Below are 13,393 nucleotides of genomic sequence, written 5' to 3' on the forward strand. Positions count from 1 at the left end.
GGCGATGTGGCCACAGGTTCCCAAGCAGCGGAAACTCTTAGATCGGCCTCCGCGTCTGAGAACAGAGCGCAGCGGAACTGCCGCGTGGCCAGCACCTGGGCCTCCCCCGGAGCTGCTCAGGAGTGCAGAGTTCAGGCCTTGCCCCCTGCTGAACTTGAACTGGACTGGCCCTGGGAGGCCACTCCTCAGGCCTTCAACCTGTCATCTGAGAGCCGCCAGCAGATGGCAGCAAAGGCCCAGCTCTGGCAGGTCTCTGAGGCCTCCCGGCTGGGCCGGGCCCTGGTACCTGGAGGAAGATTGCACGCTCTGGGACTGCGAGTTGCAAAGGTACCATGAGGAGCCCCGGGAGGTGAAAACACTTCCCGGGCTAACGTGGCGCCGAGAGGGACTGCGGACCCACTCTTGGCTTCCTCTTTAGAGGAGAGATGGAGCGGGGTCCGAAGCGCACAGGCTTCGAAGGAACTAGTGAGCCAGCCGAGGGCAGCGGGAGCCGCAGAAATCAGCTCGGAGAGAGTCGCGTGCAGGCTGCAGGTGTAGGGAGAGCCGGGGTCAGGCTCCGGTGCGCCGCGGGGGATGGCGGACCCTCCGGGGGCCGTGCTCCCCGCATTCCCACCACGGCGCAGGCATCGGGTGCCCTGCTCATCGCCCCTCCAGCCGGGGCCGGGCCTGCCTCTGGAAGCCCCACGGGTTCTCTGGGGCCTTTGGTTCCAGCGGGACCCAGGAGAGCAGCAGCTTTTGTCCGTGTGGGCCACGGTGACCTTCCCAGACACAAAATCAATGCCTAGGAATTGCGGAGTGACCCATCAGCACACGTAGAAAGGGTGGCATTTGTGACTTTTGTGCAGCTCGCTCAGGTGACACGAAGTCAGCTCCGAGCCCTGCCCAGCCCCAGCCGTCTCCTCCCAGCAGCTTCCAGGGCTGCAGCCACTGCAAGAAGCCAAAGGGGAACCCGTCCCCCCGGGGGGCCTGGGGACCAGCAAGACGAGGCGGGTAAATGGGCTTCGCGGGCGGCCGCAGGCAAAGCCAGGGAGGATCTCACATCCTCGTCAGCTCGGCAGCAGCAACACAGCACCGCGGGCCAGTGGGCTCAGCAGCGGGCGTCTGCGTTTCCCAGTCCTGGCGGCCACAGCCCGAGATCTGGGTGTGGGCAGGGCTGCTTCTGCCTGGGGCCTCTCTCCTCAGCTGAGCTGCCGTCTTCTCCCCGTGCCCTCACCTGACTGTCCCCGCGTGCACGGCTGTATCCTCATCTTCTCTTCTTGGAAGGACACCAGTCCTGCTGGATCAGGGCCCACCCACATGACCTCATTATACCTTACTGGCCGCCGTAGAGACCCCAGCTCCACATAAAGCCACATTCTGAGGTCCTGGGAGTTCGACCGGCAGCTTATGAATCTGGAGGACACAATTGATTCAGCCCGCAACCATCGCGGAGGCTTTGCTTGGGGCACAGCTGGCAGAGTGTGAGTCACCCAGCGCCAGCACCACACGGTGGTGGTCGGGGGTAGCACCCGGGGCTCCAGGCGCAGGGAGCCCAGCTGCAGTGCGGGTGCTGCTGAGAGCTGGAGAACGCTGGGGAGACACGCGGCCCGGGCTTCCCGGGCCTGGCTGGCTGCACTGCCCCCCACACCCGGGGGTCTGACTTAGCAGGTCTTAGGGGTGTCCAAGAACCTACTTTTAACCAGTCCCTAGGTACCTTAAGACCAGGAGGAGGATTTGGAAGATCCCGCTTTGTGCTAATTTCATCTAATCCTTGCCATAGGCCTATTAGAGGTAAGAAAACAGAGCTACAGAGGTTGAAGAAAAATTCTCAAGATCACATTAAAAGTACATTTACCATTCAAACCTAGGGTCATGTGGCTTCAGAGCCCTTGTTCTGAAACCCGTGCCGGCATTCCATTTCTAGACCAGGGTGGTGAGCACCAAAGCCCCAGAGAACCCAAGGGGGTTCCAGAAGCAGGCCCAGCCCTGGGTGGAGAGGCGGTGCCAGGATGCCTGACACTGCACAACCTCAGCCCAGGACACCTGCAGCCCAGCACACCTGACACCCACACAACCTAGCCCAGGACACCTGATGTCCACAACCTAGCCCAGCACACCTGACACTCCTGCAACCTCAGCCCAGGACACCTGCAGCTCAGGACACCTGACTCCCACACAACCTCAGCCTAGCACACCTGACACCATATGCCCTCAGCCCAGGACACCTGCAGCCCAGCACACCCGACAGTACCCTACCTCAGAGTAGAGGTGATGTTCAGAGCACTAACAGCTTCGGGGCACAACCCGCTGGGGCTGCCCACATTGGGCTGGAACAGCCCCCTCCAAGCTCCCCCATGTCAGGTATTTGGCTCCCCTGGTGCCGGATGATGAGGTGATATTAGTGGGCGGGGACACCCAAGAGAGGGGCTCATGCAGCGCTACTACAAACTCGTGTGGGAGGATTTCCATATTTCAGTATTTTTACCACAAATCAGGGCTCCACAGTGCCGGCTGCTGACTCTGCCATTCTTAGATCAAACTTCTAGGCTCTTAGTGCAATAAAATACAAGTGACAGAAGTGTCCCCAGAGATCCCCCGCAGTGTGCGGCTGGGGTTACAAGTGGATCCCAAGTCTCCTCATCCCCAAAGTGCCATTTGACCAGGGGTACCCCTCACAGCAGCCTGCAGCTTCCCTTTTCCTCTCCTCCATCCTTAGCTTTCCCAGGCCACCCCTTCCCAGCACCAATCCACAAAACCACGTGTTGCCCAGGTCCCCGTGTCTTGGCTCAATAGGTGACTCCAAAACAAAAGCGTTGCATCTTTAAAAGTGCCATCATTTCCTGTCCGTGTGTGCTGGCAAGACTGGCTTGGAGGCTGGGATCAGGGCCTGGGAACAGATGGGCCGAGTGGGGGGCAGGCAGGGGCAGGCGGGGAATGCCCAGCAAGAACAGGGGACGCCTACGTAAGAGGAAAGCTGTCCTGGGCGCCCCAGGAGAGTCCCGGCTCGGGGCCCTGCATGTCGCCGGCAGAGAGAGAAGGCCGGTGGGTGGGAAGTGTCACCTGAGCCCCCTGCTCTGTCCACAGGCCCAAGTAAAAGGAGACCCAGCACCACCTGCCATAACTCACAGTGGCTAAGGGCGCGATGTTGGAGCCTGTGCCTGGGGTAGACCCTGGTCATGCTACTGAAACCTCTGTGCTCTGCCCTCCTCTGCTGTGGAAGGGAGGAAGTGACAGCACCTGTCTTCTGTTGGCATTCTGAGGATAAAGTGGGTGTGTATATGCACAGGACTTAGCTCAGGATCGGGCATGGGCAAGCACAGTGCAAGCACCTGTCCTAACTGTGCACTGTTTCCCATCATTACTATTTAATTATTATTACTCTCATTCCTCTCCTTGGCTAATGGGGTGTGACGGCTGGAACGGGAACCAGGTGCATGCATCGGACGAGAAGCGCACTTGGACTGGCCTCTGTGTCTGATGGTGAATTGGTGTTTCTGAGGTTCAACCTCTGGATAGTGCTTCTGTGCACTAACCAGTCTCCACAAGCCTAGTAACCAATCTTCAGATGACTAGTAACCAGTCTCCAGATGACTAGTAACTGATTGTAACCAATTGCCAGATGGCTAGTAACCAATCTTCAGATGATCAGTAACCAGATCATGACTAGTAGCCAATCTCCAGATGACTACTAACCAGTCTCCAGATGACTGATAACTAACCAGTCTCCAGATGGCTAGTAACCAGTCTCCGAATGACTTGTAACCAGTCTCCAGACGGCTAGTAGCCAGTCTCCAGATGACTATTAACTAATCTTCAGATGACTAGTAATTAATCAGTCTCCAAACTAGTAACCCACTGCCAGATGACGAGTAACCAGTCTCCAAATGACTAGTACCCTGGTCTCCAAATGGCTAGTAACCAATTTCCAGATGACTAGTAACCAGTCTCCAGATGGCTAATAACCAGTTTCCCGATGACTAGTAACCAATCTCCAGATGACTAGTAACTGGTCTCCAGATGGCTCCCCAAGAGACCACACCTTCAGTGTCATGCGTGGGACGCTCCCCCAACACTGAGCTGCCTGTCCTTGTGTCACCAGTAGCACCATGGTGGCGACACATGTCACTTCAGAGACTCAGTGATCAGAAGGCTTGAAGTACCCACCTTGGTGTCTGGGAATGCACAGTCCAGCCCACGCTGAAGAGAGAAGTGGGCAGAGCAACGCTGGTCAGCCCCCAGCCCTTTCCGTCAGTGCAGCCCCAGCCGACATGGGGAAGGGCTAGCTCACATCTTCCAGCCCAGGAGACAGGGATGGCCTGGAGAGGTCATGGGACCCTGTGGGGCCATCTCAGTCACCTCCAGCCAGGGAAGCCACGCTCCGCTGGGGCGGGAGAGTTGTGGAACAGGCTCAGGCAGCCCCTGCTGTGCCCCTCCCACAGGATCCTGAGCACAGTGAAATGGTCCTTGTTTTAGGGAATTGAGTTTTGGAGTGTGTGTTCCCTACCTAGCTATATATATCCCAAAAATATCCTGGTGTTCAGGCCACCGTGCCCAATGGAAGAGGGCAAGCCCTTCATATGTGTATGGCTGGAAAAGGACTCTCATCGATTTCCCTTTTGAATTTGGAGCCCTCAAAATCATCTTTGGAGAAAGGCATAGTCCTGTCTCCCACGCACACATCCTTAACTTTGGCAAATAAACCTCCTGAAATGATTGAGACTTGTCTCGTCACTTTTCTCAGTTGACACCCTCAAGGACTCTAACTGGGGCTGTTAATGGTCAACCTAAGATCATCAAAAGGCTTGGGATCCAGTTAAAAGAGCTTACTCAGGTGTAAAGTGTGAGGGCAGCTGTCCGGGACACACGAACACTGAATAATGTTCACCAGTGCTCCTGGAGTCGGGAAAGGTAAAGATCGTTTATACAGGGAAAACACAGGTGAATTACATTTTCCATGGAAAGGCTGACACAAAGATATAAGATTTAGTTGGCTACTATTGCTTACACTCTCCAGGATTGCTTAACATTCCATTGTGAAGAGGTAACAATCACAAGGCTCTCTCCCAACATCATTTAATCTAGGTGTGAATGAAGAATGAGGAGGGCAAAAATCACCTGGTGAGCATCATGCAGACCCCAGGGACAAAAGTTCCTTATCTGAGGAATTTAGAAGTAATTAGACTTCCCTATTACCTAAAGGCACCTGGTTCCAGGCCTCTCCTCAAAACGTGTGAGTAACTAGAATTTCTATACATCTCTGGAATGCATGCATGCCAAAACTTATGGTGCAACCCTTGCTGACACTGAGACACCAAAATGTCTACAAATGTAATACTTTATCGTGCAAATCACCCTTCAGCTCCTGCTTGAAGGTCCATAAATACCCCTAAGGAAAAATCCACCGCAGTGTGCTCAGTCCTCTCTAGCTGAGGCACCCACTGCGCTCTCCAGCCGCGTTCTTTCTTTCTAACAAAACTTTCCTTTGGCCGGGTGCGGTGGCTCATGCCTGTAATCCCAGCATTTTGGGAGGCTGAGGCGGGTGGATCACGAGGTCAGGAGATCAAGACCAGCCTGGCCAACATGGTGAAACCCCGCCTCTACGCAAAATGCAAAAATTAGCCAGGCGTGGTGGCGCATGCCTGTAATCCCAGCTACTCAGGCTGAGGCAGGAGAATCACTTGAACCCGGGAGGCAGTGGATGCAGTGAGCAGAGATCACGCCACTACACTCCAGCCTGGGTGACAGAGCAAGACTCCGTCTCAAAAAGAAAAAAAGTTTTTCCTTTTTCAAACCTATGCTGTTGTTGGTAAATTCTTACCAACCTACGAGTTGACCACTTCCCGATGCCAGGCATTTTGCCTGGCAAAGAACAGGAGCCTGGCTAATGTGTCACATCTCAACACACCAAGGTCAGACAGCTACAGTTGTGCCCCAGAGAAGAAACACAGCTGTTACATGACTTGGTTTCCAGGGCGTTAACTTTACCCCTTGGCAAAATACATTTAGAAGCTCCTGAAACTTATTTTATTTTCACATTTCTCCCTTTCCTTGAAAATTATTCAGAGAAAGCATTTGTTTTAGTCTATTTGTATTACTATAAAGGAATACTTGAGGCTGGGTAATTAATAAAGAGAAGAGGTTTATGTGGCTCACGGTTCTGCAGACTGTACAGTAAGCATAGTGCCAATGTCTGCTTCCTGAGGGCCTCAGGAAATTTCTCCTCGTGGCAGACAGGGAAGGGGAGCTGGCACATCATGTGGCAAGAGAGGAGGCAAGAGAGGGAGGAGGAGGTGCCAGGTTCTTTTGAAAAACCAGTTCTCTGGGGAACTCTTGAGGGAACCTATAGAGCAAGAACTCACTCATTACCTAGAGGACACCAAACCATTCCTGAGGACTCCACCCCCATGACTCAACCACCTTCCAGAAGGCCCCACCTCCAGCATTAGGGATCAAATCTCAACTTGAGATTTGCAGGGGACAAACGTCCAAACCGTATTAGTATTGCAGAGGAATCGTGCTCAGGCCCTGTATTTTATCAAATCCCACATTGCCAGGAGGGCTCATTCCTCGGAAGTCACCTCCCCAGGAAGGGGGACTGGAAGGGACCAAGGTGAAATGTCAAAGGAACAAAGGGAGAGTAGTCCTGGAGCCTGGGTCAGGCTGCACAGCTGCCTCTTCAATCACAGCAATTGTCTGAACAATCATGGTTCTAGTTTTCTCAGCTGCATGTTGACTCAGTTGCAGACGAACACCGTAGTACTTCTGTGGACGAGGACAGGACGAAACCCACCATGACGCTGATTCCCAGGATGAGCAGTCGCTTTTGCCAGCAAGTTCACCAAGAGCCAAAACAACTACTTAGCCAATCCCAGAAGGAGGGTTTTCGATCGGAAAGTCTGGTTATTTGGGTTATATGAGTTATGAATTTGTGAGGGTTATTTGATTCATCTGACATGAATGAGATGAAGGCACGACATTCAGTTTTCATGACAGGACACACTTCTCCTCGGGCCACGCTGAGTATGTCTCAGGCCACATGGCTCTGTAATACAGCCTTTCTCATGACAGCCACTTCATGATTTAATAACAAAATACCCATGCAGCTGTCACTTAGGGTCTTTCGTGCACAACTTGTTAGGGCCTTTATGTGCCAAATGACAACTTCAACACCCAGCTGTGGTAGGACGACAGAAGCCAAATGACCACACCAATGGAACACAGAACACACCCAACAAGATTGTAAATGAGGAAATTTTACTGGTTTTGACAGGGTATGAACGACACAGCCTTGTGCCCAAGCATAACCAGGGCAACATCATCCTTACCGTCCTGGGGGAAACAATGGCCATATGTTAGTGCCACATAGCCAAGATGTTCCATTTGGGTCTATAACCAATAAATACCTGTCCTTGTGTTTAATCGGTGGCAGACCAATCAGTTCTTCGTAAGACAAGGGTGCGGGCATACCTCATTTTTTATGTCTACCCCATATCTCTAGCGCAGTTGGGCCATTATCTTTGGTGTGATTTTTTTTGTTCCTAACACAAAGGGGGATGCTGCCTAAGCTGGCCATAAGAGGAGATGAGCCCAGGTGAGGTGGCTTACACCTGTAACCCCAGTACTTTGGGAGGCCAAGGTGGGTGGATCATCTAAGGTCAGGGGTTTGAGACCAGCCTGGCCAGCATGGTGAATGCCCGTCTCTACTAAAAAAAATATATAAAAAAAAAGAGCTGGGCGTGGTGGCACGTGCCTGTAGTCCCAGCTACTCAGGAGGCTGAGGCAGGAGAATTGCTTGAACCTGGGAGGTGGAGGTTGCAGTGAGCCGAGATCGCACCACTGCACAAAAACCTGGATGACAGAGCAAGGCTCCATCTGAAGAAAAAAAAAAAGAGGAGGTGAGCTAAGTAAACCCACCCCAAATTTGTAATATACCGTGCTGAAATCGTGCTGTCAATTAGGTATCATTGTTTTCCCTTTCATTTGGGGTGGGGCCTGAGGAAAAGCCAATAAACTGGTTTCTTCTACCAAGAAGCTCTTCTCATGTTCCTCATTCTGTAAAGCATCATCAATAGGTCAATGGTGTACCTTATCCTTAGTCAGACTAGTGTGAAGGACACCAGACTGATTTTGTGTCCCATCCGATAGTTTTGATAAATTTTTGACATTCTGTCCAGTCTTGCCTTTGGAAAAGAAAAGCCCACCATGGTAGGCCAGACCCACTGGAAAGGGACCACATATCCAGCAAGCGTCATTTTGTAATCTACCAGCACAGCCTGGGACCCATTGCAAAAACAGGCTGATAGTCATGCCGTCACATAAGGACTAAGGATACTAGAAGGAAGTTCAGTGGAAGCTTATAAAAGAAAATCTTCTCCATAGATTAACAACTTAGTATTAAATGTTTGTCTAGCATTTTGGGTTTCAGCTGTCTATGTCAAATGCCATCTTTTTCTCTGCCTGGCATCAACTATTTTGAGTCAGAGGTCACCTTCTGGGGAAAAAGTCCAACCTAGAGTCTCAGCCTTTGATATGGTTTGAATTTGTGTCCCCACCTAAATCTCATGTCCAAGTATAATCCCCAATGTTGGAGGAGGGACCTGGTGGGAGGTGATTGGATCATGGTGACGGAGTTCATCCTTGCTGTTCTGTGATGGTGACTGAGTTCTCACAAGATCTGGTTGTTTAAAAGTGTGTAGCACTGCCATGCAGGGTGGCTCACACCTATAATCCCAGCATTTGGGGAGGCCAAGGTGGGCAGATCACCTGAGGTAAGGAGTTCGAGACCAGCCTGACCAACATGGTGAAACCCTGTCCCTACTAAAAATGCAAAAATCAGCTGGGCATGGTGGCACACACCTGTAATCCCAGCTACTTGGGAAGCTGAGGCAGGAGAGTCACTTGAACCCGGGAGGAGGAGGCTGTGGTGAGCTGAGGTCATGCCACTGCACTCCAGCCTGGGCAACAGAGCAAGACTCCATCTCATAAAAAGAAGTGTGTAGCACCTCCCTGTGTTCTCTTCCTCCTGCTGGCCATGTAAGACATGCCTGCTTCCCCTTTGCCTTCCACTGTGATTGAAAGTTTCCTGAGGCCTCCCCAGCCATGCTTCCTGTACAGCCTGCAGAACCAAGAGCCAATTAAACCTCTTTTCCTTACAAATTACCCAGTATCAAGTTGTTCTTCATAGCAATGCAAGAACGAACTAATAGTCTTCTTTAGATGAGAAGTGTTAACTGCCTTCTACTTCAGCAGCACAAAGTTTAGCAGGCAGTACTCAATAAGGTCTATACCATTTTGGTTGAAGAGAGTTATTTAAGAAATGTTGTGTCCAATAGATGAAATCTCGTGGGTCAAGTCCATGGTCTTTGAAGTTTTCTTCTCCCAGGAGCTCACTGTGAAAAGATTCTTCTACCGATTCATAATTTTTAGTTAATTGCCTCATTAAGCCATTGCAATAGCTAAATATGTCTCCTTTACTATTAAAGGCTATAGATCTGCCTGCTGTAATTTTTAATGGAGATAACTGGTGTTTACCAAAAGGGATCGACCTCAGATTAAGCAGAAACAGTGGAAGAGCTTTTAGCCAAGGAATTTGAAAGACCTCCATTAATTTTGCCAGTTGAGCTTTGATTATTCTGTTTGTGTGGTCCACTAACCCAGATGACTGGGGGTGGTCAACACAATGGAAATACTGGAGAATGGGCCAAATTTAACGTACTGGTTGGATGACTTATCCAGTGATCCCAGTGTCTCTGTCATTATGAAGCTCCAGAGGAACTCCCCAGGCTGCAATAATGTTTTCTAAGAGAATTGTACTCACCCTAAGGTCATTGCTCTTCTACATAGAAACACCTGCACCCAATGAGAAAACATGCCAATCATTACCAAAATATATGTGTATATTTGTGAGAGCGGCAACTGGACGGAATGTAATTGCCATACTTTGACAGAGGCCTCCCTGGATTATTTTGGGGGCAAAGGTAACAACTGTACATCCTGTGTGCTACAGTCAGAGAAGGTTTCCAAAATATCGTTTCCCTCAAGCAATCACTCTGTCAGGCTCTGGGGAGTTATGTCATGTGCATAAGTTAGAAATGATAACAAAAATTCAGCATGAAGTAGAAGCATGTTGTTTGATCCATATCATACCTCGTCTTTGGGGGAGTATGTTCCCCCTCTTTGCTTTCCAACTTTTATGTTCTGGTTTTGGAGCCCAGATTGAGGTAATTTTATACAAATGCAGGTGTTTCTTTTAAGATTACTGTAGATTATTTTTCTTGTTTAGATACATTTACAGTAGCTCTTTTTACTACCTTATTAGCTAGCTGATTTCCTTTGCTTTCTGGAGTGTTTGATTTAGAATGGCCTGGAATTTTAATTATGGCCAGTGACTTTGGTAATAATATGGCTCCCAACAATTGTGAAATGAGGTGTCCATTTTTTATGGATTGACCAGAAGAGGTGAAAAATCCTCTGTTTCCATAGCATTCCAAAATCATGAGCTACTCTGAAAGCATATTTACTGAATATTAGTAATGAATATTATCAACAATTATTCCTTTCGCCAACTGACAAACCCTGATCAATGCAATTCTGCTTGTTGATGTGAGGTGGCTTCTGGAAGGTAAGCCTTTCTATTTCTTCAGTTGAAGATACTGTTGTGTAACCTGCTCGGTAAGTCCCTGATCCATCCTTTAAATAAGAGCTGCCTGTAACTCAAACAACATCAGCATTAATCAGTGGAGTCTCTTGCAAGTCAGTCCTAGGAAAGAGGAGCCAATCAACTGGGGCTATGTGATTATGCAGTGTTTCATCTGAAAATGAAGGCAGAAGAGTGTCAGGATTTAGGTTACACCTGGAGATGGTGATAGGAGAAGCTGAAAGAAGTAAAACTCATGTGAAGCTCGTCTACTAATTGAATAATGTCCAGTGTGGTGTGAGTTTAGTGATGCTTCCACAGAATGAGGGATAAAAACAGTAAGGGGAGTTCCCACCACAGTTCCTTGGGTCATCTTAATGAACAAGGTGGTTGCTGTTATATCTCTCATGCAAAGAGGCAATCCTTTGGCTACCGGGCCTAACTGTTGGCTGTAATGCCCTACAGGTCTATTTCAGCCTTCATGTTTCTGAGTCAGATTATCTAAAGCATTTCCATCATTTTCATGTACAAACAATGAAAATGTGAGGTTATAATTTACATGCCCCAAAGAAGAGGCATTGGCAAGACCATTCTTAGTCATTTCTAATGTTAGTTGACTTTCTTTTATCCAGTCTAGAGGGTTTAAAGTTCTCTATTAAGAGGGCATATAAGGAAGGTGGGCGCAGTGGCTCATGCCTGTAATCCCAGGACTTTGGGAGGCCAAGATGGGTGGATCAATGAAGGTCGGGAGTTCAAGACTAGCCTGGCCAACATGGTGAAACCCCGTCTCAAGTAAAAATACAAAAATTAGCCAAGTGAGACTCTGTCTTAAAAACAAAAAGGAGGGCATATAAGGATTGGGCTTTTAAATAAAAATTTGGAATCCAATTTCTACAATATCCTGCCAGTCCTAAAATCCCACTCAACCATCTCTTCATTCTTGGTTGTAAAAAGCTGAGATCCTTTCTAGTCTGTCTGAATTAATAAAACATCCTTCCTTGGATATTAGGTGGCCTAAGTATATCACTTGTCTTCGACAAAATTGAAGTTTCTCTTTAGAGACTTTGTTTTCTTAGGGCTGCCTTTTGTAATAAATGTAGCCCATCATTCACAGAACATCTTGTTTGCTCTCCAAGATGGAAGTCATTTATTTACTGGATTAATGTATGCATTTCCAGGAAATTAACATCTGAGAGGCCTATTTTTAATATTTTTGAAAAGTAAGTCAGGCTTTCAGCATATCCTTGGAGGCCTGTGTGACCCAGTGTATTGTCTGTTTTCCCAAGTGAAGGCAAAGAGAAATTGGCTATTTTTGTCTACAAGAATGCTAAAGAATGTACTACATAAGTCTATGACTGTAAGGAATTCCACATTAGAAGGAATGGCTGTGAGTAACATAGGCTTGTGCAGTATAGGGTGCCATGGGATTGCCATGTTGTTTATTGCTCTCAAGTCTTGTACAAACCTCCATTCTCTAACATTTGGTTTTCTTACCAGGAGGATTGGGGTATTACAATGGCTTGTACAAGGAATGAACAGTCATCTTTCTATATAATCTGACATTATAAGCTTTATCCCTCCTAGAGCTTTAGTTCTCAAGGGGTATTGTCTTGTATTTTGAAGATGTTTCCATGGGTATATTTAAATATTTATTGGAGTAGCTGAGATGATAGTTTCTATATCAATGGAGGACACTGACCACAATGGATCAAGTACTGTCTTTAGTACATTTTGTAATTCTTCATTAAGCAATAATTCATTGTCTTTCATGGCAATATGGATTGCAATTGGATTAGATTTTGAAAATTTTATTAAAATATCTGTTGTGTCTCAAAGTTGAGTTTTATAATCTAATTTTAAATATATTTCCTTCCTTTGAGAGAAAGAAATGTGGGTATCACATAATTCTAAGCAGTTTCTTCCTGTTGAATGGATGGGGTCTGATGGAACAAAGAGGAGGGCATGAGTTCCTTGTAACGAACACTGTTGAAAGGTTACAGGCTGAGATTGGTATGCCAATACAGGAGGATTGTGATGCCCACCATTTGAATTCTTTGTTTACTGCAAGGAATGGGACCTTGTACCAAGATGGGATTAATTCCAGATAATGTGGCTCCAGTGTCAATAAGTGCTTGTGTTAGTTCTCCATTTATAATAATTTTTATTTCTCCCAGTGTTAGTAAGGAGGAAATGAAAGGCCCCTTTAAGTTCCTTGGAGCACCCCTGTTTTCTTTTCTGCCTCCACTGGTTAACATTCTTTCCTTTTTCATTTTTGGCAACTCTTTTGAAAGTAATCATGCTTTTTGCAAAAATTGCAAAGTGGAAGGTTAGGTCCATTAGGGAGTTTCTAGGGGTATTGTGAAGGCCAAAATTGTGTGAATAGTTGTTTTAATTGTAAATTCATAATTGTATTAGCCTCGCTCTTTTGTTTGGCTTCCCTCTCTCTTTCTTCTTCAGTTAAGGTATCAGATAACCGGTCAATGAGACTGACCAAATCATGAGTATCAGAAGTGGCCCAACTTTGTCTTTTCATTGTTAGTTCCAATTCATCTAACTCATTTGTTAAACTGGAGTCGAGTATCATTTCGATGATTAGCACAGCTTTCTTCGGATAAAACTAAATATTCTTTAAAATTTTTTCCACAGCCCTCAAAGTATATTACTGACTCATCTGAATTTTGTTGATATTGTATTTTGTTCCAGTTGACTACTCTGAAAAACTGAGGAGATAGCCTGATGCAAAGCCTTTGCTGTTCTTCAAGCCTGTCTATGGTCCTC

General features: G+C 47.8%; 1 annotated feature.

Moving 5' to 3' along the window:
• Positions 325-414: an enhancer, noted in NCBI's record as "active region_26886". NCBI's record gives its function as "activates an Ori minimal core promoter by ATAC-STARR-seq in GM12878 lymphoblastoid cells {active_cell/tissue: GM12878}" and the evidence as "EXISTENCE:reporter gene assay evidence [ECO:0000049][PMID:35858748]".

The sequence above is a fragment of the Homo sapiens genome, chromosome 7, assembly GCF_000001405.40.
Source record: "Homo sapiens chromosome 7, GRCh38.p14 Primary Assembly".
NCBI classification, from domain to species: Eukaryota; Metazoa; Chordata; class Mammalia; order Primates; family Hominidae; genus Homo; species Homo sapiens.